General features: G+C 37.6%; 2 pseudogenes across 4 annotated transcripts, besides 1 other annotated feature; both read left to right on the top strand.

Moving 5' to 3' along the window:
- The first annotated feature begins 210 nt into the window (after positions 1-210).
- LOC100132004 (ankyrin repeat domain 30B pseudogene) lies at positions 211-13,634 on the top strand (annotated as a pseudogene). 4 transcript variants are annotated; one of them, XR_007061504.1, is made up of 5 exons: positions 211-668; positions 4,744-4,858; positions 5,021-5,194; positions 7,444-7,579; positions 12,992-13,634. The product of XR_007061504.1 is annotated as an ankyrin repeat domain 30B pseudogene, transcript variant X2 (transcript). The 4 variants fall into 4 exon arrangements; XR_001746457.2 differs by lacking the exon at positions 12,992-13,634 and adding an exon at positions 10,163-10,509; XR_007061505.1 differs by lacking the exon at positions 5,021-5,194 and having other exon boundaries at positions 431-668.
- Positions 8,790-8,896, top strand: RNU6-156P (RNA, U6 small nuclear 156, pseudogene; annotated as a pseudogene).
- Positions 13,310-13,419: an enhancer, noted in NCBI's record as "active region_28422". NCBI's record gives its function as "activates an Ori minimal core promoter by ATAC-STARR-seq in GM12878 lymphoblastoid cells {active_cell/tissue: GM12878}" and the evidence as "EXISTENCE:reporter gene assay evidence [ECO:0000049][PMID:35858748]".
- Positions 13,635-27,660: the final 14,026 nt, after the last annotated feature.

Raw genomic sequence — 27,660 nt, 5'->3', positions numbered from 1 at the left:
GGTTGAGGAGGGGCCAGGGGCGGCTCTGTCAAGCAGGCCGTGTGGCAGGGAGCCCCCCACGTTCCGCTCCAGGGAGCCCCGCCAGCCCGACAGCACCTCAGTGGCAGGTGTCACCTGCACGCGGTGCTGGGCGAAGCGTAGCCCGGGCGGTTTCCCGCCTCGCCTGTCTCCCCGGTCTGCTGAGTTGCGCATGCTCTGTTGCCTAACGGTTCTGCTCAGCTGCCTAAAGGTTCTGCTCAGCTGCCTAACGGTTCTGCTCAGCTGCCTAATGGTTTTGCGCAGCGATTTTCTCCCAGGAGAGGCTGGAGTGTCCAAAAGCTTGGCCCGACTGAGATTTCTACTGGTGTCAGGGCGGGTGCGGGGACTGAAGAAGGGCGAGGGCGAGCGGCGGGGACTGGGGAAGGGCGAGCAGCGGGAGGTGCGCGCTCTGTCTAGCAGGTGGCTGCAGCCATGGAGAGGCTCTCTGCCGCCGCTGTCAAGGGCCAGACGGGCCCGGAGCGCCGGAGCCCCTTCAGTCAGCTGGTCTACACCAACAATGGCTCTTACGTGATTCACCATGGGGATCTCAGGAAGATCCACAAAGCTGCCTCCCGTGGCCAAGCCTGGAAGCTGGAGAGGATGATGAAGAAGACGACAATGGACCTGAACATAAGAGATGCGAAGAAGAGGTACCAGACCGTGCCTGAGCCGGGGCTGCAGGAGGAGGAGGCGGCTGTGGGAGGATCGCCCCTTCAGAGTGGGGGCTGGGGGTCCTGGGGACGAGGGGAGCAGGTGGAGGAGTGGCGGGCAGCGGGGCGGCTGTCCTGGGCCCCGAGGTCTTGATCTTCTTCCCGGGCAGGCCCCCCAGGCCTTGGATGGGGGCGCCCTGCAGGGTGGAGGGCCCAGGCCACCTTAAAATCAACCTCAAACTTTAGTTAGCTGCTTTCTCCTTCACTCCCACTTCCTCTCACAGAGCACTGTGTAGAGAATTTTAAAGTGATTTAACTTACAAAATTAAGTACATACAGGGTTTTACTTTTAATGTACAGGTTTTAAAAGATAACGTTAGATACATTATGAAATGGTGCATAATGAAATAATTCCCATAATATATTAACTTCTTGGCTAAAAATTTTTTGGATAAAGTCCAGTATCCATTTCAATATCAATGAATGTCTATGTAAATATAATCTTTGCTGAGGGACCTTAGAAGGTAACTTTGAGGTGGGAAGATGGTTTATGTTTTCGAATTTAAGAAGACTCATTTTTCTCAAGATGCAAGTTCTTTATCAGTTTTACATAAACCAAATAAAATCATCAACATTTTAACATTTTTAAAATTACACACTCTGTCTTTTACTACTGTGATGACATTTAAAAATTTTTCTAACGGAGTAGAAAAGTCTTGCTCTTCTAGATTTCAAAATGTGCTATTAATTTGCACAAAATGGGCCACGGCCAGGCACGGTGGATCATGCCTGTAATCCCAGCACTTTGGGAGGCCGAGGTGGGTGGATCACGAGGTCAGGAGATCAAGACCATCCTGGCTAACACGGTCTCTACTAAAAACACAAAAAATTAGCCGGGCATGGTGGCGGGCACCTGTAGTCCCAGCTACTCGGGAGGCTGAGGCAGGAGAATGGTGTGAACCTGGGAGGCGGAGCTTGGAGTGAGCCGAGATCGCACCACTGCACTCCAGCCTGGGTGACAGAGCGAGATTCCGTCTCAAAATAATAATAAATAAATAAATAAATAAAATTTGAAAAAAGAAAAAAAAAAGTCCAGGCGTGCTGGCTCATGCCTGTGGTCCCAGCACTTCGGGCGGCCGAGGCGGGTGGATCACCTGAGGTCAGGAGTTCAAGACTAGCCTGGCCAATATGGTGAAACCCCGACTCTACAAAAATACAAAAATTAGCCAGGCACGATGTCGGTAGCCTGTAAGCCCATCTACTCGGGAGGCTGAGGAGCGAGAATCGCTTGAAACTGGGAGGTGGAGGTTGCAGTGAGCTGAGATCCCATCACTGCACTCCAGCCTGGGCGACAGAGTGAGACTGTGTCTCAAAAATAAATACATAAATCACAAATTCTTTGATAACAGCTGAAAAGACAGGTAAATGAATACAACAGAGTAGAAAATCCAGAAACACCCGAATATCTAAGAATTTAGAACTTGATAATGCTCACACTTTATACTAGTAGGGAAAGAATAGTTTCATAAGGGAAATGCCTGCTTTTTGGAGAAAACTAGATTTTTATGCCACAAAGTAAATTTCTAACGGAATATAGATTAATTTTTTTAATATACAAAATGATAAAAGCACCAGAAGAAAACATAAATGCCTATTTACACAGGTACATTTTTATGTTGACAACACCTTTCTAAGAAGCTCAGAAGCAAGCAGTCTGAAGGATAATTAAGCAAAACAAAATTAAATTAAACTGTAATGAGAAAAAATAAAAGGCCGCATACTTGTAAAATATTTACTACACATGTATGTGCGTGTGTGTATACATATTAGATTTAAAAATCGTCCTTTTATAGATAATTCACTTAAATCAACAAAAAACCCTCATTTAAAATTGAGCAATTTAAATTAGAGATCTAAATTGCAGGTCTAAAAATAGTACTTTGCTTCTAATTTAAAATTGGAAAAGTATTTTCTTAAGATCTGCAAGTGACCTATGCACACAGAAAACAATATTTAGTGTTCCTGGTTACAGAAGGCATTTAAGTTAAAAGAGGAATCAAACACTGCTTTCTATCTACAAAGTTTATGAGGAAAAAGAGCAGTGATATTTACACTGCTGTTTAAAGTTTAAGTTGCAGATAACTTTTCAAATAGACAATTTGGTGGTAAGTACCATATTATTAAGAAGAATCCATATAATGACTTTTATAAATACATTTCAGTGAATTTACAGCATGGGATAATATGTGACCACTGAAGGTAGAAATATGTAGAGAAGTAGGTGACATTTGAAAATGTATTTTGGTGTATCAAGTGAGGGTAAAGTTCAGTTTGATTATACATACACACAGACTACAGTCTTGTGTTATCTGAAATTGTGTATGAAACCTGATAAAATTTGTTATTTGAGGGCATTTGTTTTAATATAAAATGTTTTTCCTTTTTATTATCTTTGATTTCCACATTGAGCATGTACAATGCTATTAGAAAAAGTTTATTATTAATGAAATAATTTTTGGGAAGAGCAGGAATATAATTTTGCACCAATGAAAATAATTTCTCACTTTCCATACTTTAATTTTTATTTTTTGTGAATTAGTATATTCTGTGAACTTTTAGCATCTTCAAAAGACAATCTTTTTACCTGTGCTTGTTGATTTACATATACATCTTATTAGACACATATTTTTATTATATATAGATTTATTACATATATGTCAATAATTATAGATTAATTAGTGTAGTTTTATTATTAAGAAAATAAAATAGAAAATATAAGTGCTTTATTTATAGCAGTTTTTTTAAGGTATTGAACTTCTCAACTGTATTTATCCTTTTAATCAATTTATCACATGTAAGCTGAATGCCTATTATGTAGAAGATACATTAACTCTCAAAATCCTTTCATCCTTAAAAATTTTACATTTACCTGCTCAGCCTTAGCAAAGTGAGAGATTTAAAGTTGGAGTACTAGGACTGAATCTCAATTGAAGCTTTTCCTCTCATCTTTAAAACAAAAACACTTCTGAAGTAAGAAACTAGTAAAAGATAACTACCAACCATGATTTTGGAAATTTATAACAGCTTTAAATAGTAATATTAATCATTGGAAATACCTAATTTACATGCATTCTATAAATTTAAATATGAATTTACATACATTCTATAAATCTAAATATGGAATAAAATGATCCATACCTACTTTAATCCCAAGTTTTCTTTGGCTTGAAGTTTTAAAAATATTAAAGAAGTACTTTGTTTTAACAGTTTGTTTTTATTTCAACTCTCCTTTTGTGTAGCACTCTTAAAAGCTAAAATTTCTTTAAGTGTTAATCCTATGACTAGGACTGCCATCATCCTGTTGTATATACCATATGCCACTTCATGGAAGGCACCATGAATTGTGTGATGCCTCCTTATTTATGTAACAATAAAAGATTGTTTAAATTTCTGCAGAATATACTTGTAACAAATAATGACTTATAAGTGGCATTTCAATGTCAGAGATGTTAAAATATGAGAAATAGAGTATCTTAGAATTATTAAACTACAGGTTTATCTCTAACCTTTAAAACATACCACAAAGTAGGCATAATTGTACCATTTTACTTAAAATGTTTTCTTTGTTAAGTAGTAGAAATAATTACAATATCTAACAATTACTGAGCTGTTACATGTGCTAGGAATTCTTTGAAAAACGTTGCACAGATTCTCATGAGGCATCACAGTGATGTCCTGTGAGATAACTGCTGTATTCATCTTCACTTTATTGATGAGAAAATTGAGGCACAGAAAGGTTAAGTGATAGCTAGAAGGTGAAAGACTTTAAAGTAATATTCAAGCCCATGTTGAACTGAATCAAAGGCCAAGCTCTTTCTATTCAAATAGGCCACTCTTTCATTAATGTAGTGAGTAATAAGAGCGAATGAATGTTGTACTTTCTTCAGGAGAATATTAAATATTTGTTTTGAAGGCAGAGAAAGAGCATGATATTTAATGTTGACAATTACATAAATCATTATATGTTTTGAGACAGTGGACTAAAATTTCCTAAAAAGTCCTCTCACTCTCGTAGGACTGCTCTACACTGGGCCTGTGCCAATGGCCACGCAGAAGTAGTAACACTACTGGTAGATAGAAAACGCCAGGTTGACGTCCTTGATGGTGAAAACAGGACACCTCTGATGAAGGTAAATTGTAGCCAGTTCTTTCAGCAGGAGATGGATTTGGTTTAAATACATAGAATAAAGATGAATTTATCTCATTGAAATATAATTAGTTTGTGAAACCTGTGGAATATTTATTTATATTTCCTATAATTTATAATTTACTTCTTGCTTTAATACTAACAGGCTCTGCAATGCCAGAGGGAGGCTTGTGCAAATATTCTCATAGATTCTGGTGCTGATCCAAATATTGTAGATGTGTATGGCAACACAGCTGTCCATTATGCTGTTTATAGTGAGAACTTGTCAGTGGTGGCAAAATTGCTGTCCTAAGGTGCAGACATCGAAGTGATGAACAAGGTAGACGTTAACCAATGCTATTTTCAAAATATTTGAAATCCATTTGTTTTAACATTAACATATGTAAATTGTTTTATATTTGGAAGCTCAAACATTCCTATTTTTCTATGAAAATAGTTTGACAAAACTTAATTGTCTAGGATTTTGCTTTAAATATTAATATTTTTACAAGAACTATTAGTATGGCTTTTCTGTGCATTATGATAAATATTTGAATTTGTTAAAGGTAAAACATTTTCAAATATTCTTTAGCACCCAAGTTTTTTTTTCTTTCCAGTTAGTGTAAAACTACAGGAAATTAAAATTTGCCTGCATAAATTGAGTCAACATGTAAAATTTCAGAGACATGCAGAAATCTGGATTTCTTCTTAAAGGATTGAATCTGGTGTCTCTTGAGCCCATATGACTGTTTGGTATGCTATGAAGACATTCTAGCTTTACATAAAGCATATGTTTCCAGTTTGCTACTGTGCCCACCTAGTTACATCACTTATTCAACTGACCTCTTTTGCCTCTGTAAATATTTCAGTTATCAATTCCTCTCTCATAGTATATTTTGGTAAAGATTTCAAGTTATCAAAGACAGTTTATAGGTGTTTATAATATATAGTTTATATTTTACATTAATTCATTAATAATGGGGTAGTCTTCTAGAATTTAGAATATTTTTTAAATGATTATTTTTCTTCATATAAACCATAAATAATCATCTTCTATTAGAAGGCCTTTAAGCCTTCTTAGATTAATCATGGTTATATTTGAATAGGTTATGCATATTGCAGAAAATATTATATCTTTCTCCGCAGAATTGTCCCTTAAAATTCAAGTTATTTAGTGGCTTCTATTTTGCTAAGCCATATACATGAGTTAGAACTTTCATTAATAAGCCATTTTATTCATGCTTCTGATATTTTGCCAAAAAATAGTATCAATTACAATAGAAACCAGAATAAAAATGGATTATTGCATTTTAAGAAGTAGATATGCATTAGGATCCTAGGAGTATCATTATAATAGAGAATAAAATTTTATACTGAATTTCTTTCCTTTCTTTCTTTTTTTTTTTTTTTTTGAGACGGAGCCTTGCTCTGTCACCAGGTCGGAGTGCGGTGGTGTGATCTCGGCTCACTGCAATATTTGCCTCCCTGGTTCAAGCGATTCTCCTGCCTCAGCCTCCTAAGTAGCTGGGATGCAGGCATGTGCCACCATGCCCAGCTAAATTTTTTGTATTTTTAGCAGAGATGGGGTTTCACCATGTTGACCAGAATGGTCTCGATCTCCTGACCTTGTGATCTGCCTGCCTTGGCCTCTCAATGTGCTGGGATTACAGGCATGAACCACCTCACCTGGGCTTTTATACTGAATTTCTAATAGCTGAGATAAAATCCTATTGTCTGGTAATAGGATAAACCCCATGGACCATTTAATAATGAGCAATCAAAGTTTATTTGAAGCCAACCTCTTTTAATTTAGAGCCACTTCCTTATTGACCCATTTAGAGCAGAAGTGCCTGACATTGGCATTTGGAATCTTGGGATCATTGACAGAAGAGAATCAAGTGAGTTTGTATCACCCAGAGGAAACCTCCATTTTTGGGGGGAAGCTTTCAGAACTGCATCCCTGAAATTCTATTTGTCAAATGTTAATGTTTGCCACAAAAAATACTGTCAATAGGGATTAGGTAAAGTTCAATTCATTTCTTGAATAATGAACATTTAATTCACAGTTTTATAACATTTCTTGAACATAGATAATGGTGGAATCTGTTGGGGTACAGTGCTTCTGGTAAGGTAATTATTCTTTGGAATATAGTTGAAGAAACACTGTTCTAGAGGTAATAATTTAGATTACTAACTTAGTAAAAAATAAAATATTTACTACTATGTCTTAGGGTTTAATTATATAGAGGTAAAAGATACAGACCCTGCCCTCAAGAAGCTCTTGGTTTACATGGGAAACAATAAAATCATTACAGTATAATGATTTTTGGAGATAACCAGAGTTGATGTAGTGATGCAGAGGCTGAATGTTTACAAGAGAAGGTGCAGTACTACTATGCCATGTCCCAGTGAGACATGAGTCTTTTCACCCCTTCCTTTTAGCCTTGGTCGTGATTTACAAAGATAAACACTTGAGCACTCAAGATACTTAACATTTGTTAATACATGTAAATGGTTAATTCTACACTGACAGGCACATATTAAACTGGTTCTGTTCATAATAATGAAGTTATCTCTTTGTTATTTTAGCACAGCCCTCATGCTTGCCATATGCCATGGATCATCAGAGATAGTTGGCATGGTTCTTCAGCAAAATGTTGACATCTGTGCTGAAGATACGTGTGGAATGATTGCAACGTTATGCTGTTGCTTGTGGGTTTAATCTGTAAGTGTTTACATTTAAAGACTAGGTGAGATTTTATAGTTTGTTTCAGGTAGTTTTTGAATGACAGTGAGTTAGTTCACTTCATCAGCCAGAAACCAGGCAAAAAGCTATACTAGTTAGAAGGAGTAATGGCTCCAGGATTCTTTATTTTAGGGCTTTAGGGATGCTAATGTTGTCTACTTGATTTGAAGTATAACCCCTATGCATGGGATAAACATAATGTCACAATTTTGGTTTTTCTAATTAGTTATTTGGGTCTCAAAATGTCCACTTTAAGCAGAAAACCTGACAGTGTCCCCTGGGGGCTGTCTTCCATACCTTCATTCTTGAATCTTTTAAAAGAATCTGAACCTAAGTCCAAGGAAGACATTCTTTTTGTACAAGTCAGAAGGATTGGGGGGTTGGGAAATGGCCATTCTCTTTATTTTGTTGTTTCCATTGATTCTGTTGCTGCATCATTGCCATTGAAACTGCTTCTGCAGTCTGGTAATGATTGACCTTTGTGACCAGGATGCCCTTAGTAACGCAGATCTCTCAGCCTTCATGGTGTAGACTTCGAAGTTATTACATGTTTTTAAAGTTCACGTACATATTCTCAGCCATTGTTTCCAAAGTACCAGCACCCCACTCTGGCAGCTAGAACTTTTAGCTTTAGCCACACACATAGTGAGCAAATTGACCCTTCTTCTCACACTCAAAACCTGACGTGAAACCCACATCTTAGCCTGGATATGGCCTAGACCTTCATGGTAAGTTATCCTTTGATTGGCTTTTTTCTATTTTCTCTAGCCAATATTAGTTGTGGTAGTTTGAAACTGTAACTCAGGTTGAAATAATGTTACAGGAAGAAATTAGAGATCCATTTTGTCTTTGTTACCAGATCTATATCTCTGGTCCTTTATATCCTGTGTAGCACCATTTTGTAGGTAGTGGAAGGTCTCACCTTATTCTGTAAAATCCCATGTCATCTTTCCCAAGTTGTAGTGGGTTCCAACTTGTGGTTGTCCCTTCAAGTGATTCTTTTTTCCTAAAAGTAAAAATCTCCCATGCTACTTACATCTCTACCTCGAGTTTTTTAAATATTTTCAAATGCTGCATCACCATGAAGCCATTCAATAGACTTCACTAAATCTCAAGTAAGTTGGTTAGATTTAACAGAGCTAAGCCTCATCCATCACTGATCAGTCTTCATGTATAAAAGTAAGGATTTGTGCTGGCTTCAGTGGTACATATAGTAAAATTGAAACAACGTTGAGAAGACCAGCATGGTCCCCGCACAAGGATGACATAGAAATCTGTAAAGTGTTGCATATTTCTTGCAGTCCCCAAAAGGACATTTTACTCCTTTCTAACTAGCTCCAAGGAAATGGTGTGAGTCAAAGCAAAATGGGTGACACCCAGTATTGCAATTGTGATTTTCATACAAAAAAATATTTATGTAAGGTGATCTATGAAATGAGATGTGGTAACACATAGGATCTTGTGTGCAATATTTTGTTAGTAGGGATCTCAGAAATGAGAAAATACCAACTTGCATCTTCTTTGTGGAACTTACAAAAAATAAAGGTAGCGTTTTGTCTTCCACAGCAGCTGGAAATGAACATAGTGACTAAGCATCATTCTAACAAAGATTTGTTGGTTCAGAGTTTAAGGAGGTAGATAAAGAGTAGCAGTAGTCCAAGCCAGATGCTGACATCTATTATTTTCTGCCCTTGGTGTGGTTGATGAGCTCAGTAATAGAGTATAATTAGGTTATCTGATTTAATGATTTAATATATTTATAAATAAATTTCATTACAAAATATAAAATAGCTTAGATGCTCTGAATTACAAGCCACAAAGAATAGAACATCTAATATCCAAAAGTAGGAATTAATAACAGAAAATTGCAATATTTGAATATTATAACCTATGAAGAAACACATTTGTTTTTTCTTTTTTTTGTAATTTAATTTTTGTAAAGACATGGTCTCCCTATGTTGTCCACGCTGGTCTTGAACTTCTGGACTCAAGCAATCCTCCTATCTCAGCATCCCAAATTGCTTGCATCACAAGCATGAGCCACTGCACCAGGCCAATATATTGGGTTTTATTGGGAATTTTAAAATAGTTTCAGCAATAAGGTTCAAGAACAAATTATGTTTTTGCTTCACTTTTTATTTTAAGAATTTTAAAAATGTTATCTTGTTAAATCTTTATAATAACATAGTGAAATAAGGCCCTAAAATCCTCATTGTTAGAAGACATTGAGTCTAAGGAAGCAACTTGTTCAAGAAAAAATACCTGTTGGTAGCCATGCTAGGATTTATTCTGAGTTAAGGACATTTTTCATATGTCAAGCTACCTCTAGTTAATTTACTAAGTTACACTGCCCTCACTTCATGAGTGTTTTATCTTTCTTCTTCTTTAATTAGAAGCTTAATAAGTTCATAGAGCTTACAAACTTAAAGTCTATGGAAAAAGTAATGTTCTGATGTTAGATCTAATATTGTCTGAAATACTCTAAGAACTTAATAAATTTGGTAAATGTTTTTTATATCAATGTTAAAATAGTAATTTTATTTATTTCATTTTTATACATAGCATTGATCAACAACTTTTGGAATATAACAAAAGGTATCTAAAAATTCTCAAAATAGCAATCCAGGTAAGACCTCTGATAGTAAACTACACTTGGTGGTGCTACCATGAGATTATAGGAGTGTTGATCACAAAAGAACTATTAAAAAAGCAATGTGTAAGTAGCATGTGTTTACATATATACCTATATGTAAGTGTTTTTATATATACATAGCTTTGATTTAATTTTTTAGTTTATAATTCAGAATTAAGAATTTAGTTGGGCAACCCGCTCGGGTCCCCTTCCACACTGTGGAAGCTTTGTTCTTTCGCTCTTTGCAATAAATCTTGCTAGTAAAAAAAAAAAAAAAAGAATTTAGTTTTAGGTGGTTTATAATCTCAAAAATATTATCTGAAAAAATATTTGTTTAATTGTGGTCCCTAATATCCTATATAAAACTTTTGTATAAATGAGTAAAACAATTTTTAAGTTTATATATTGTATGTTTCCTCAACTGTCATAACAATTTATGCTTGTTATAAAATGTATAATCCTTGGTGTGATTGATGAGCTCAGTAATAGGGGTTTATCAGCTTATCCAATTTAATGAATTAATATATTCATAAATAAACTTTATTACAAATTATAAACTAGCTTAGATGCCTTGGATTACAAGCCACAAATAATAGAACATCTAATAATGAAAAGTAGGAATTAATAACAGAAAACTGCAACATTTGAATATTATAACCTATAAAGGAACACAGTTAAACAAACTGTTAAATAAACAAGTGTTTGTTTGTTTATTAAACATAAACAAACATATAAAATGATTATTTGTTAAATAAAAAATAAATTATTTGTTTGTTTCTTTATTGTAGAGACATGGTCTCCTTATGTTGCCCAGGCTGGTCTCGAACTTCTGTGCTTTATTTAATTTTTACAATAAATGATTTGCATTTAGAGAATTAGAATTAATTACAGTTGAGTCTTGAGCAACATGAGAGTTAGGGTGCTGATCCCCTCATGCAGCTGAAAATCTGCTTTATATGAAAATCTGTTTCTTTTGACTCCTCCAAAACTCTACTAATTTTCTACTGTTGACCTGGAGCCTGAAAAAAGGTGAAAGCATAAGCAGTCAATTAACCCATAGTTTCTATTTTATATGTACTATATATTGTATTCTTAGAATAAAGTGAGCTGGAGAAAAGAAGCTGTTATAAAGAGGAAGAAATATATTCACTATTTATTAGATGGAAGTGAATTATTATACATAAAGGACTTCATTCTCATTGCCTTCACATTGAGTAGGCTGATAAGGAGGAGGCAGAGGAGAGATTTGTCTTGGTATCTTGCAGTGGCAAAGGAAAAGAAAAATCTGTCTATTAGTGGGCTTCTAGAGTGAAAACCCTTATTCAAAGATCAACTGTGTGGCATAGTGACTTGTGTCACTAAAAAAGTAACTATCTTTAGAATTTGGAACTCAAAATTCTTGCACCATAAATGAATGTCAATAAGAATTAACATAACTTAGTGAGGGTGCATCAGTACCAATAGGAGATTATTTTTCAAAGATACCTACTGAGTGCAGAAGTCAGAAAAGCAATTCTTTGTTGAGAAGCGCAGGTTATGTTACATAGTCTTGTACCAACAAGGTCTCACTATTATCAAATTCATTCCCTCTAAGTTGAAACCAAATAAGATATATTTACTTCATTAGAACAAGATGTGTTGTTCTATCTGCTGGATAATTAGTGTGTTAATAGTAATTTTGGTACAACAAGTTACTCTGTTCCTACTAGCCAAAATAGTATCATTATAAATATTCAACTAGCTCAACTCTAGGCTCAACAAATTATAATAAAAGTGGAAAAAATTTTCACAATAACAAAAGTGCTACTGTGATACATAAATGTGAAACAATACATTGTACAATATGAACTGTATGAGCACATCTTTAATTTATTACATATTTATCAAAGGACTTCTATAAGTTAGATTTTGCAAGTGGCAGGAGACCAAGATGGAATACACATAGTCTGGGTCTTTAAGGTGCTCATAATACAATAGAGCTGTCTCTATTGAATTTCTGCATTTTTCCAACAGAATTTCCTAACTATGTTTTTTATTTGTTTATCCACTTGTCCACTTAACAAATAACTGTCAGGTATCTTTAAGGTACTAAGCATCTTTCTTGTTATTATCATTGTCATTTTTTGTTATTTACTACTTTATTAAGGTACTAAGCATTTTTCTTGTTATTATCATCTTTTTTATTATTTACTACTTTATTTAGTGCTTACTCTGTGCCAGAACCCCTTTGGGAGCTTATAATTATCACTTATTATGTCATTATCATATTCAGTCTGTGTCAGACATTTTATATCCAACGTGAAGAATTTAAGCTTTAAAAAGTTTGGTAGTGTCCAGGAGCGGTGGCTCACTCCTGTAATCCTAGCACTTTGGAAGGCCAAGGCAGGCGGATTGCTTGAGCTCAGGAGTTTGGGACCACCCTGACTAACATGGTGAAATCCCATCTCTACTAAATACAAAAAATTAGCTGGGCCTGGGTGGCATGCATATGTAATCCCAGCTACATGGGAGGCTGAGGTAGGAGAATTTCATGAACCCAGGAGGCGGAGGTTGCAGTGATCTGCTGAGATCATGCCACTGCACTCTAGCCTGGGCGACAGTGCGAGGCTCTTGTCTCAAAAAAAAAAAAAAAAAGGAGAAAACAAAAGTTTGGTAGTGTTTAAGGAAAGCAAGCTGAATGAGTAGAAGTTTTCCAGGTAAAGAGTCAAAAGGATGATATTTAGCAGAAGGAAAATTTAACCAGACTGTGTGTTTGGCAGAAGGAACATCTGAAGGAACACCTGACGAGGCTGCACCCTTGGCGTAAAGAACACCTGACATGGCTGAAAGCTTGGTGGAAAGAACACCTGAGGAATAGGATACAGCGAATTCCTTTTCAAAGATTTTAGCCTGTAAAAATCCTTTAAAATTCAAGAGGGGGAAGATTAAGTACAATGAGTTCTGAGTTCCTCATCAAAGAGTAAATATGTCAGTATGTTCAGCTTCTCTGTTCTTTGTTCTCCGTTTTAAAGTTTAACTTCCTCATTATTTATGCCTCCTTGCCCCTAGTTTCATTAAACAACCCCCTTCTAACCTCTAACACCTGTTTTGTCTTTAGTCATTCTTAGTCACCTGCTCTGTCCTCAGTCATCCTTAGACACCTGCTCTGTAACTGTCTTTCCCGCTGAAAGTACTCACCCTGCCACTCCAGCTCATACTCCTGCTCTCTTTGAAATAGCCCATCTGAATTAGCTAAGAGTGTGCAGTCCAACCCTATCCAATAGGGAAAAGACACAACAGTAGGGACTAGCTGCATTAGGAATAAGAACACTTTCCCCTCCCTTGTTCAGTATGATCTTGCCATTGCTCCATCTGCAAGACCACTCTTTCATAGAAGTAAATTTGCCTTGCTGTAAAAACTTGTTGCTGGAGTGCTGACTGTTCTTTGTTTCACTGAAAATTTATTTTCCACAAATGTGGGGGCCCACCCAGCATTCCCATTCTCCTCTGGGGGAGGGTCCAGTCCTCTCCTGTGAGGAGGCGCACCCCGCTGCCTCGTTGCAGTGGCCATAAAGGTAAGGAATCAAGACTCAGCTGGTGCAATTGATAAACCTGGGCTCTCAGCAACGTGGAAAGAAACAGGCCAGCATCTTTGGGGAAAGGATCTTCACATACCGTGGCGACCAGGTAACTGTGCACAGACCGAGGTAAGAAATGTAGCAGGGGTGACAAAGTATTTCCTTGGTGGTCAGGATATTCTGGAGGTCGAAAGTGTGTGTGAATGATCACAAGCACTACTGCTTGTGTTGCTGTTTGTGTAGATGATACTAAGCATTATTGCTGTGAGGAGTGAGTGGGTCCTATCTGCGGTTTTTTTATTTGAACAAAAAACCTTTGAAGAGGAATTCAGTGTATCCTCATAGGGCTCAGGGCAGATCCTGCTGTGAGGTTTATACCATGATGCGAATGCTAAGAGGGACCTAAAATTCCTGGGAGAGAAGCAACCAGAGTGGATGAAGCGAAAGAAGCGTGCAAGGAGCCTCCAGCAGGTGGCGTTAAAGGATAGGGAAGAAATCTCTAGCATGTGGGATTGAGCCTAACCAGGACCTAACATGGGAAAAGCCCCAAGAAAGACAGGGCGCAAAAAAGAAGAGGATAGTAACAAAGACATGCCCCCTGATAGTCCCCTGGGTCTCATGTTAAAATATTGGAAGCATAATGAGAGGACTAAACATAAGAAAAAGCATTAGAGGATAAAATATTGCTGTTTCATTTGGACCCAAGGTCCCATTTTCAAACCCTCAATCTTCTGGCCAAAGTTTGGGTTGAATGAGGATGTAATGTGTCAACTTCTAATTCAATATGTTAATGATAAAAATCTGGTTTCTCAAGAACTAGATTATGGAGACAGGGACCTGTCTTTATTCCCTTAAAGACAACTAGGGAAGAACCCGATCCAGCTCTCAAATTGAAAAGTCAGATGAGCTGACTCCCACACCTAAAGCCAGCACATGGGATTCCCTATACCATTTTGCCCTGCTCAGTGCCTCTGTCCCTTCCCCTCGGGCAGCTGTTGCCACCCCAGATCCCACCCCAGATCCTTCTCCTGCTCAAGCTGTTCCTCCTCCTTACATCTAATTCTTGGGAGTTATCATCCCATGAGCCTGTCCCCTGTCAACCTAAATACCTCTCCCTAAAGGGACTCCAGCATGAGGTACAGCAATGTAAAAAGGACATTCAGAACTTCCCTTTTCTCTCCACACATAAGGAGTCAGCCCCAACTCTCTTCCCCTTAAAAGACATGCCACTAGGAGGAGGAACCATTGTATTTGTGAATGCTCTCTTGACCAGTTCAGAAGCCTGAAGTTTGAAAAAGGAAATTAAGCCATTGTTAGACGACCCTTATGAGGTGGCAAATCAGGTTGATCAATTCTTGGGACCTCAGTTATACACTTGGGTCGAGTTTATGTCCATCTTAGGCATCCTCTTTTCGGAGGAGGAAAGACGAATGATCTGATCTGTAGGGCTGCTAAGGCAATTTGGGAATATGAACACCCTCCTTGTCAAAACGTTCCTACCACGGACCAAAAATTCCCTGCCCAAGATCCCCAGTGGGATAATAAAAACACAGCTCACCAAGAAAACATGCAAGACATAAGGGAAATGATAATGAAAGAAACTAGGGATTCAGTACCCCAAACTCAAAATCTCTCTAAAGCATTTGATATACAACAGGAGAGAGATGAGTGGACTATGAAATTCCTAGACAGACTAAAGGAGCAAATGAGACAATATGCAGGCCTAAATTTGGAAAATCCCCTGGGACAGGGAATGTTAAAGCTCCATTTTGTCACTAAAAGTTGTCCAGATATTTCCTTTTATTTTTTTGAGATGGAGTCTCTCTCTGTCACCCAGGCTGGAGTGCAATGGTGCGATCTTGATTCACTGCAAGCTCTATCTCCCAGGTTTGCTCCATTCTCCTGCCTTAGCCTCCCGAGTAGCTGGAACTACAGACGCCCACCACCACGCCCAGCAATTTTTTTGTATTTTTAGTAGAGACGGGGTTTCTCTGTGTTAACCAGGATGGTCTCAATCTCCTGACCTCGTGATCCACCCACCTTGGCCTCTCAAAGTCCTGGGATTACAGGCATGAGCCACTGTGCCTGGCCAACATTGTCCAGATATTTCAAAAAAGTTACAAAAATTAGAAGATTGGGAAAACTGACCTCAAGTGAACTTCTCAGAGAGACTCAAAAAGTATCTGTAAAGAGAGACGAAGAAAAGCAAAAACAAAAGACAAAACTTATGTTATTCACCTTCTAACAGATCGCTCCAAACCCATGTACCCCTAAACAAAGCTTCCAGTGGGCCAGAAACTATAAAGGTTCCAAACCCTCCTTTAAAGGACCCAAGCCTCCATTGGGAGGTTCAAGGCTCTCATCTACCAGGCCATCTAAATAGTATGGGGGAGTAAAATCAAAGAATCCCAGAACTGAGAGTGAGGAAGGGCAAGGTAGGCACTACAAATGTGGAAGAACAGGCCACTTCAAGAGAGAATGTCCCAAATTAGAAAAGGAAAAAGAAGCCCTTCCACTCATGGCTTTTGAGGAAGAATAATGGGGTCAGGGGTTCTGTCTCTTTTATCTTGAGTTCCACCAGGAGCCCTTGATAAGTCTAGAAGTGGGACCTAAGCATGAGTTTATAACCTTTTTAGTCAATTCAGGAGTGGCTCGATCCTCTGTTTGTTTTCCCCCCATCTAAATTGCCTGCTCTTCAGAGGAACTTTTGGTTTGTGGGGTAAAGGGAGAAGGATTTAAAGCAAAAATTTTAGAAAACACAGCAGTCAGATACCAGGCTCAATCAGCTCATATTCAGTTTTTGTTAATCCCTAAAGCAGGGACTAATTTACTAGGGAGGGATTTAATGTTGAAGTTAGGCATAGACCTGCAGCTCAGCCCAAGAGGATTCCTCACTTCATTAAAGCTACTCACCACTGCAGATGAAAAATATATTAATCCTAATGTCTGATCCAAAGAAGGAAACTGAGAGAAACTCTGAGTCCCTCCAAGCACATGAAGCTAAAAATCCCCAGGGAAGTAGTAAGGAGGAAACAATACCCCATTCCCCTAGAGGGCAGGATAGGGTTGAAACCTATAATTGAAGGTCTTATTAAAGATGGGCTTCTTGAGCCCTCTATGTCCCCTTATAACACCTCAATATTGCCAGTCAAGAAATCACATGGGTCATACCGGCTGGTACAGGACCTTAGGGCTATTAACCAAATAGTCCAAACTACCCACCCCATTGTCCTCGATCCTTACAGCATTCTCAGCAAGATTCCATATAATAATCAATGGTTTACTGTAATAGATTTGAAGGATGCTTTTTGGGCATGTCTCCTGGCAGAAGATAGGCCAGATATATTTGCTTTTGAGTGGGAGGATCCCCATTCAGGGTAGAAACAACAATATCGATGGATAGTCTTACCCCAAGGGTTCACAAACTCCCCTAACCTTTTCAGTCAAATTTTAGAACAAGTATTAGAAAAAGTTATCATCCCAAACAAATATGCCTGCTCCAATACGCTGGTGAAGATATAGAGAAGGTAGCTGGCTTCTCTACACATATTCTCAACCATCTGCAGTTCGAGGGGTTATGAGTCTCAAAGGGAAAGCTTCAGTATGTAGAACCTGAAATTAAATATTTAGACCACTTGATAAGTGCAGAGAAGTGAAGAATAGGGCCTGAACGAGTTGAGGGAATCGTGTCCCTACCCTTGCCTCAAACTTAAGAACTCAGGAAATTTTTAGGGTTAGTTGGATACTGCTGCTTATGGATTAACTCACATGCACTAAACAGTAAAATTCTATATCCAAAACTTTCCCAGGGGAAGACTGACCATTTCCTGTGGATTTCTGAGGAAGTCGATCAGGTTGAAGAGCTGAAAAAAAGGCTTATAACAGCCCCTCTCTTAGCCTTACCTTCCCTAGAAAAGCCATTCCACCTTTTTGTCAATGTGGATAATGGGGTAGCTTTAGGAGTGCTCACTTAAGAACACGGAGGCCATCGGCAGCCCATGGTGGCCTTCCTGTCAAAAGTCTTAGATCCAGTTACTTGTGAGTGGCCTCAATACATCCAATCCATTGTGGCTACAGCACTAATGGTCAAAGAAAGCAGGAAGTTAACCTTTGGAGGAAAATTGACAGTAAGAATGCCCCATCAAGTTAGAACTATCTTAAACCAGATAGCAGGGAGGTGGCTTACTGACTCAAGAATCTTAAAGTATGAGACTATTCTGTTAGAAAAAGATGATTTAACATTAACCACTGATAATTCCCTTAACCCAGCAGTTTTTCTAATAGGGGATCCAAATCTAAAGAGATAGCACACATGTTTAGATTTAACTGATTACCATACAAAAGTCTGACCAGACCTAGGAGAAACTCCCTTCAGGATGGGATGACACTTATTTATAGATGGTTCTTCCCAGGTGATTGAGGCAAAAAGATGCAATGGGTATTCAGTAATTGATGGAGAAACTCTTGAAGAAATTGAGGCAGGAAAATTGTCTAAGAATTGGACTGCCCAAACTTGTGAGCTGTTTGCACTCAGCCAAGCCTTAAAGTACTTGCAGAACCAGGAAGGAGCCATCTATACCAATTCTAAGTACGCCTTTGGAGTGGCTCATACATTCGGAAAAATTTGGACTGAACGAGGTCTCATTAATAGTAAACGTCAAGATCTTTTTCATAAGGAGATATTCACCCAAGTATTGAATAACCTTCAGTTGCCAGAAGAAATAGTGACTGTCCATGACCCAGACACCAGAAAAGTCTTTCTTTTGACAGTCTAGGAAATAACCCAGCAGATTACATAGGCAAACAGGCTGCCATTTCTTTTAAAACATCTATTTTTCACTGAACTCTTTACCTTCTTCCTCCTAACATAATCTCCATTTTCTCTTCCACTGAAAAGAGAAACTAATAAAAATAGGTGCTAAGGAGAATTCAAAAGAAAAATGGATATTGCCAGACCAGAGGGAAATGTTGTCCAAACCCCTTATGAGGGAAAACTTGTCCCAACTGCATCAAGGGACCCACTGGGGGTCCCAAGCCATGTGTGACACTGTTCTGAAAGTTTTTGGGTGTATAGGAATTTATACTCTGGCCAAACAGGTTACAGAGAGTTGCTTAGTATGTAAGAAAACTAATTAACAAACTATAAAAAGATTACCCCTTGGGAGAAGGAGTCCAGACTTAAAGTATCCAGATTGATTACACAGAGATGCCTCCAATAGGTCGTCTAAAATATTTACTAGTGACAGTAGATCACCTTACTCACTGGGTCAAAGCTATTCCCTTTTCAAATGTGATGGCCAATAATGTAGTTAAGGCCTTAATTGAAAATATAGTGCCCAGGTTTAGGCTAGTAGAAAACATTGACTCAGAAAATGGAACCCATTTTGCCTCAAACTGTTACATTTGATGCTTGCCTTGTTATACCTTGTGGAGACTTGTCAGGTCAAAGACAGCTCTCCAATTCAGAAAAGTACCTCTGTACTTCCTGGCTGTCCTCAGACTGGACATTAGTGAATTTGGATCATTTAGTCTGGGAAAGTTTCAATGAAGACCCCAGTGTCAACTGGGAGTTTTGCCCCCTTGACACAGAGCTTTTATGACGTAGTTGGTCCAACTACATGCAAGTGAGAGCAAGGATGGCTGCCCCAACCAGTAGTTGTAATTTCTAAAACCATACCTTCATTTTACTAAAGATATAGCTCCCCCTAACTTTCAGGTAAACTAGTGCAACTCAATACAGGTTATTATTTCAAACCTTCAAAGTTCTTCCCCTTCTCTAAGCGAATTCCCTTCTTTAAGCTGGTTTTATGATATGGGAGCTGAGTTTTCAGAAACAGACCCTATTGGTTCTTTGAAATATGCTTCATTTCTCCCCTACTGCTTACAGCTTCCCCTAAGTCTTCTTCCAAAAACTCTCACAATGAAACTGTTGTTCCTCCTCCATCTAATGAGAAGACCAAGGTAGCTATTGTAAAAGTTAAAGACCTAAAACAAACTTTGGCAACTGAGACAGGATATCAAGATGTGAATGCCTGGTTGGAATGGATCAAATACTCCATTCGCACTTTAAACAAAAGCAATTGTTATGCTTGTGCACACAGCAGACCAGAGGCCCAGATTGTTCCCTTTCCACTAGGATGGTCCTTCAGTCAACGAGGCATGGGCTGTATGGTAGCTCTTTTCCAGGGTTCCACAGCCTGGTGTAACAAGTCATGTCAATCTCTCTCTCTGCTCTATCCCAAAGTTCAACACCTTGCAGGTCAGCCCCCAAGGACCATCCAGCTTCCTTCTCCTGACACTAAGTTCACTTCATGTCTCTCACAACAAGGAGGAAACTTAGCTTTGCTTGGAAACCTAAAAGATGCAGTAAGCTTAAGACTTTCCAAGAGCTTACCAATCAGTCAGCCCTTATACAATCCTGAGCAGATTTATGGTGGTATTGTGGTGGATCTTTACAGGACACTCTGTCAAGTAACTGGAGCAGCGCTGGTGCTCTAGTCCAGTTGGCTATACTTTTCACTCTGGCATTTCATCAACCAGAAAAAGGGAAAACACAACATAGTAAAGCAAGGGAAGTCCTTTATGGGTCTTTTGACTCCCACATTTATTTAGATGCTATTGGAATCCCATGAGGAGTACCAGATATATTTAAGCCCAAGTTCAAATAGCTACCGGATTTGAATTGATATTTTGGTATGTGACAATAAAAATGTAGATTGGATAAATTAAATCTATAATAATCAACAGTGGTTTATTAATTACACCAGGGGTGTTGTCAAAGGAATAGCGGAACAATTGAGGCCCACTAGCCAGATGGCCTGGGAAAACAGAATGGCCCTAGTTATGATATTAGCTGAAAATGGTGGTGTTTGTGTTATGATTAAAACTCAGTGTTGTACCTTTATCCATTGGGGGCAAACAACACTGCCCCCAATGGGAGCATAACAAGGGCCCTACAAGGATTTACCACTTTATCCAATGAATTAGCTAAAAATTCTGGAGTCAATAACCCTTTCTCAAGATGGCTAGAAAGGTGGTTCAGTAAATGGAAAGAAATTGTAGCCTCAATTCTTACTTCTCTTACAGCAGTAATTGGTGTACTCATTCTTGTTGGGTGTTGTGTCATACCATGCATCCATGGGCTAGTGCAAAGGCTTATAGAAACAACACTTTCTAAAACCTCCCTTAGCTGTCCTCCACCTTATTCAGATAGGCTTTTCCTTTTAGAGGATCAAGTTGAAAAAAAAAATCCAAGACATGCTAAAAAGGTTTGAAGAGGAAGGGCTATAAAAATTGAAAGAGGCAATTGTAGAATACAGTGAATTACTCTTCAAAGGTTTTAGCCTGTTAACATCCTTTAAAATTCAAGAGAGGGAAGATTGTTAAGTACAGTGAGTTCTCATTTCCTCTTCAAAGAGTCAATAAGTCAGTATGTTCAGCTTCTCTGTTCTTTGTTCTCCATTTAAAGTTTAACTTCCTCATTCTTTATGCCTCCTTGCCCCTAGTTTCAGTAAATGACCCCCTCCTAGTCCCTATCACCTACTCTGTCCTTAGTCATTCTTAGTCACTTGCTCTGTTCTTAGTCATCCTTAGTCACCTGCTCTGTAACCATCCTTCCTGAGGAAACTACCCACCCCGCCACTCTGGCTTGCACCCCTGTCCTCTTTGAAGTAGCCAGTCAAAATTAGCTTAGAGTGTGCAGTACAACCCTATCCAATAGGGGAAAGATACAGCAGTAGGGACTATCTGTATTAGGAATAAGAACCCTTTCCCCTCCCTTATCCAGTGTGCCCTTGCCATTGCTCCATCTGCAAGACTCACCCTTCTATAGAAGTAAATTTGCCTTGCTGGAGTGTTAACTTGTTGTTGGAGTGCTAACTCTTCTTTGTGGCACCAAAAAGTTATTTCCAACACGAAGCTGCACCCTTGGTGGAGGGAACATCTGACGAAGTTCAATGTTTGGGGAAAACAATATCTGGAAAGATTGAAGAGTCAGCAGGAGAAACACCTAGGAAAATTACAAGGCCTGTGAAAGAAACATCTGAGAAATTTGCATGGCCACAAGAAAGACCTACAAAGACCACATGGGAGGAAAAAGAAACATCTGTAAAGACTGAATGCGTGGCAGGAGTAACATCTAATAAAACTGAAGTTTTGGAAGAAGGAACATCTAAGATGATCACATGTCCTACAAAAAAACAGCTACAAAAGCAAGTACACATGGTAAGATGCTTGAGTGAACTTTGTAGAGTTTATTGGCACTTTGGGTTCCCTAGTGGAAATAGTGTGGTATGGGAGTAGTCGGGAATGGCTTGAATGTCTAGATAAGGCAAGCTTGGGCAACACATTTTAATAGTGTAGAAATGAGTAGATCTTATTCTATAGGCCCTGGAAAAATTCCCAGAATACTTCTGGCTGTAAATATTAGATGAACTAACTAACAATTGCTAAAACCATAGAAACCAAAGTTTTTTTGGTGGTACAGGGATACTATAGGATCTCACTCTGCCCCCCACCCCCATTATTAGTTGTGCTATCGGCAGTGTTTTGTCCATGTCTCCTTTCTTGGTTGGCTAATTAGCAACAGCTCCAATCATCATGCTAACTCAAGACAATATCTGAAGGCTGGGGGTGCTGCTTTTGTTCACATTTTTTTTTTTAAATAGGAAGAAAACTTGGAAGCTTGCAGTAATCTTCCTGTAACATTTTATTGGCTGGATTATACCACATGCTTATTTCTATACCAATCACTAGGAAAGCAAATGTAATTACTGTGATTAGCTTAGAATAATGATTTTTCTTTTAAGATTGGATGGGGGTAACGGAATAGTAAATATCTAAATGAACTTGTGTTTCTACAGCAATAAAGAATAAATAATGACTATGCATAGGAAGCCAGCAATGTTTTCTGCAGGAACACAGTGGAAAAGTTTGAGCAGGGGAATCACAAGATTAGATTTGAGTATCAGGGCATTCTGGTCATGGTATAAAGCAGAGATTGGCAAACTTTTCCTGTAAAGTGCCAGATAGCGAATATGATGGGCCATGTGGTCTCTATTACAGCTATTCAACTCTGCCATTGTAGGGTGACAGGAGTCATAGATAATGGATGGGCAAAGAGGCATGATTGTACTCCAATAAAAGTTTGTATAAAAAACCATTTAGAAAGCTGAATTTGGCCTGTGGCCTATAGTTTCTGGCCCTTCATATAGAAGATAGATGGAGGATAATCACATAAAAAGATTTAAAGATGAAGTTTTTGTAGTAGTTCATGCGATGGTCTTTTTTTTTTGTAACAAATCTGTGGCCTAGTATCAATCTATTATGAAAGTTTGATCCATCAAGGGTAAAATGAATCAAGTTCAGAAGCTCAATTTACACATTTAAACATGTAGGTCCTTCTTTGGCATTATTTTATTTTGATTAATTTTTTTAACTTAAAAAATAAGAACAGTAATTTGTAGGGTTTCTTTTTTCCCTGTGAAAGCCATCAGTTAAGGGGCCACATTTAACTAGGAAATATAAATATAAAATAAATAAGTATGTATTTCCAGTGGCACTGGAAAGATAAAGCAAAGGCAGAAAAGAGGTGCAGTTAATATGGCTTAGTGATAATTGAGTTTAAAAAGCTAGGGGACAGATAAAATCTCAGGTCATTCATAAGTTTTCAGATTGTGCACAAGCATTTACAATGATCATGGGGAAGGAGTAGGAATTTCTCAGGTTAACAGAGAAGTGCAAACAGTCATGAGACAGACCAACAGTTTTCTTTACATATTGAGTTCAACGAAACATTCTTGTGGGATACTTTCAGTAGGCAATTGGATTATATGCATTTCTAGCTGGAGATAGAACTCTGCTTGAAGATGCAGGCTTAGAATACTTTTATTATAATTATTAGGCAAAGCCATAGATCTCAATGAGCTTATCCATGAGGCAGTAGATGTAGAATAAAAAGAAAGCCATTGACAAAACCCTGGGAATATCAACATTTCACAAGAGTCAAAGGACTTGGTAAAGGAGACTGAGCAGTGGTTAAAGAAACGTAGAAGAGGAGTCTGAGAAAGTGATGTTACAAATTTCTTTTAAATGTGAGAATTTCAAGCAGTAAAATTACTCAAAAGTCTACTGGATTTAACTTACAAGTTCTTCAGTGGTAATCTGTTCAAAAGAATTATTTTAGAGTTGTTAGGTATACTTTTGATGTGGTTGATATTTCTGGTATCCAAGAAGAAATCTCCCAAGATCCTACCTAACTTTTTGTAACTAAAGCAGCATACATACACAGGGAGTGGGAAAATGTCTAGACTGGTGAGTACACATGCCAACATTTTTCCAGAATTTTCTGCCTCCCTATACGGCTTGAGTAAGGGGTTTAGAGATTTTAGACTATACTTGGGAATTTGTCTATTTCTTTTGCAGTTCTGTCAATTTTTGTATCATGTATTTTGAAGCATTTATGTTATTATGTACATAAATATTTAGGACTGTTATGTTTTCTTGATTAATTGAACCCTTTGTCACTATAAAATGACATTGTATATTGCTGGTAATATTTTTGCTATGAAATGTACTTTGGTATTAATACAACCACTCTTCCTCAGCCTTCTTTTGTCAAGTGTTAGTGTGGTATATCTTGTTTCATCTTTTAACTAATTTTTGTCTTTATATTTAAAGTTTATTTCTTATATGCATTATACAGGTAAGACTTGCTTTTTTATCCATTCTGACAATCTGCCTTTGAGTAGAGGTTTTTAGAGCAGTTTAATTTATAATGTAATTATTGATATGATTAGAGTTGTCTGTCATCACACTGTTTGATTTCTATTAGTCCCAGATCTTCTTTGCTTTGCTTTTTTCCTTTTTCTGCTTCCTTCAGACTAGTTTAGTAATTTTTATGATTTAGTTACATATCTGTACATGCATAACTTTTTTAGTTATTAATCTAGTGTTACATTTCTTTATGATTTAGTCATATCTTTTTTGGTATAAGTTTATTTGGTATTAGGTATAACTCTTTGCTGTCCTAGTAGTTGCTTTGGGATTTATAGTGTATGAATTTACCTCATCACAATCCACCTTCAAGTAATATTATATCATATCATAGACGGTATAAGAAATTACAACCATATTTTCATTTCTTTTCTATCAGCCAGATCCCAGCCTAGATCTGTGGGATTATGGCTGTCGTTAAGTTTAAAACATATTTAGCCAATTTTTTTCTCAAGTTTTTTATTCTGCCTCTCCTCCTACCTCTTTGGGGACTTATATATTACCTGCTGGAAGTTTGCTCATAGTTCACTAGTGTCTCAAATTTGTGACTCTTTTATTTCATGATGGCGAATTAATCTATGCTCATATCTACTCAGTGCAGCTTTCATCTCCAGCATTGTAACTTGTATCTCTACAAGTGTAATTTGATTTTTAAAAGTATCTTCTACTGCTTTACTTATCTTCTTGAATTTTATGGTAGAATAGAGTTGAGTTACTTATAAAGAGCTTGATCCTTTTCATTTTTCTTTTTATGGTATGAGCTAACTCCCCATACCTGAGGCAAGGCCTTTCTGAGTATTCATTCTCCTGTGAAGTCTCAGTTTTCCCAGGCAAATCTATAAAAATAGATGCTCTTCTTGGCGCTGTGTGAACACCAGTTGTGATTTCCTATAATTTTATAGGCCACCCCCCACCCCCACCTGGTTTGTTCTTAGGTAGTTTTCTAGCTCACATGCAATTTCCAAAATTTTGCTAAATATTGACAGGGGGTTTCTTGCCATTGATTCTGTATCTCTCTCTCCTCCTCAGTGTTTGTTCTGTAATATCTGTCTGCTTTGGTTTTACCAGACTCTAAGCTTCATCAATGTAACCAAGAGAGTCTGGTAGATCCCACCTCAGTTTTTTCTTCCTGTGTCATGTCTCGGAATCTCTGTCAAGGCAGGAAGCTGAAACATTCATAAGGTTTGCTTTCTTTCGTGTTTTTTTTTTTTTCTGTTTTTCAGGGATTATTATCTCTTTGCCCAATGTCCAGTGTCTGAAAAATTGTTTACTGTATTTTGTGTGTTTTGATTCTAGTTATTTTAGCTATGAAGAAAAATCATACCTGTTGCTCTCCCTTGGCTAGAGGCAGACTACACTAGAGTTTCAGCACATGCCACAGACTGGCTAAAATGCTTTCCTTCCCTGTTTGCTCAACTGCTTCCTTTTCATTCTTCATTCCTCAGTGTAGCTATACATTCCTCGGGGGAATTTTCCATGAGCCTAGTATAGATCTAATTCTTAGCAATCTGTTTTCTTACAGTATCTATCTGAATTTATAACTGTCACTTTTCTGGGGCTTCGTCTTTTAGTACATTTTAAGTTAAACAAAGGCAGAGGTTTTTGTTTTTTTCTGTTTAATCTGCAGAGCTTAGTATAATGCCTTCCACGAGGTAGGCAAACAATATATATTTGTTCAGTGTATGAATTAGTGATTTTTAAAATATGCAGTTCTTTATATCCCAAAAGTACTTATATATTTTATTTCTATCTCCTCCTGGAGACAGATTCAACTAGCCTATCAAAATTCTTGGATGCAATTCTTTCTTGTGAAAGAGCAAGGGAACTTAAAAAATATCCCTGTGAGCCAGGCGCCGTGGCTCACGCCTGTAATCCCATCACTTTGGGAGGCCAAGGCCGGCAGATCATGAGGTCAGGAGATCAAGACCATCCTTGCTAACACAGTGAAACCCCGTCTCTACTAAAAATACCAAAAAAATTAGCCGGGCGTGGTGACGGGTGCCTGTAGTCCCAGCTACTCAGGAGGCTGAGGCAGGAGAATGGCGTGAACCCAGGAGGCGGAGCTTGCAGTGAGTGGAGAACGCGCCACTGCACTCCAGCCTAGGCAACAGAGTGAGACTCCGTCAAAAAAAGAAAGAAAAAAAAAATCCCTGTGAACAACTTACAGCAAAAATGAAACAAATGAAAAAAAAGCTTCGTGTACTACAAAAGGAACTATCAGAACCAAAAGAAATAAAATCATAGAGAATCAAAAAGTTAAAAGAGAACAAGAGCTCTGCAGTGTGAGGTATGACATACTAGTATATAGGATACTTTTAGTACTAGCTGACTTACCTTCTGAGGTTTAACTAGAGAAAGAAATCTCTGTCTTGTAGTGTCAAATCCATTTAAATAATACAAGTTATTAACTGTGAATACATCTCCTGATAATTAAATGCATATTTATTTAAATCACAATTTTAATGGCTACATAGAAGGCCATTATTTGGAAACCCCATTATTTACTTAAAAAATTATTTTTTTTATTTTTAATTTTTTTGTGTTATAATAAGTGCTGCAAGGCATAATTGCATGTAAATCCTTTTCTACCATTCTAATTATTGACTTGGAATAAATTATTCAATATAAAAATATTTGGTTAAATTATAGGAAGTTTTAAGAAGTTCTTTGTTCATTACTTCTAAATTGTTCTCAAGAAAATTTATATTCATTTATAGTTCAACAAAGAGAGTGTGAAACGGCCATTCCTCTACCCCCAATAATCATTTTCCTTTAATTATACACTTGAAATCTTAATATGCATGGAGTATAAAGAAAAATATAGAGTAATTTATGACTAGTATATTCAACATCTCTCTCTCTCCTACATAAATAAAATCAATTCAGAATTCTATGTTAAAAACACTTATTATTTTTATTTTTTAATTAAATATAATATTCTGTCTTATTCTAAAAGAGATTTAAAATTTGTTGATAAAATATAAAATAATCAACAAGATACATTTAAAGTATTACTAAAAAAAGAAACAAAAGATATATGGGATAACAGATATTAGATTCTTCAGCCTAGTCTCAGATTTTAATATTATAATTATGTT

This window comes from Homo sapiens, chromosome 9, assembly GCF_000001405.40.
Source record: "Homo sapiens chromosome 9, GRCh38.p14 Primary Assembly".
Taxonomy (NCBI): Eukaryota; Metazoa; Chordata; class Mammalia; order Primates; family Hominidae; genus Homo; species Homo sapiens.
The sequence above is the reverse complement of the archived record's forward strand: the minus strand, read 5'-3'. Positions and strand labels throughout refer to the sequence as shown.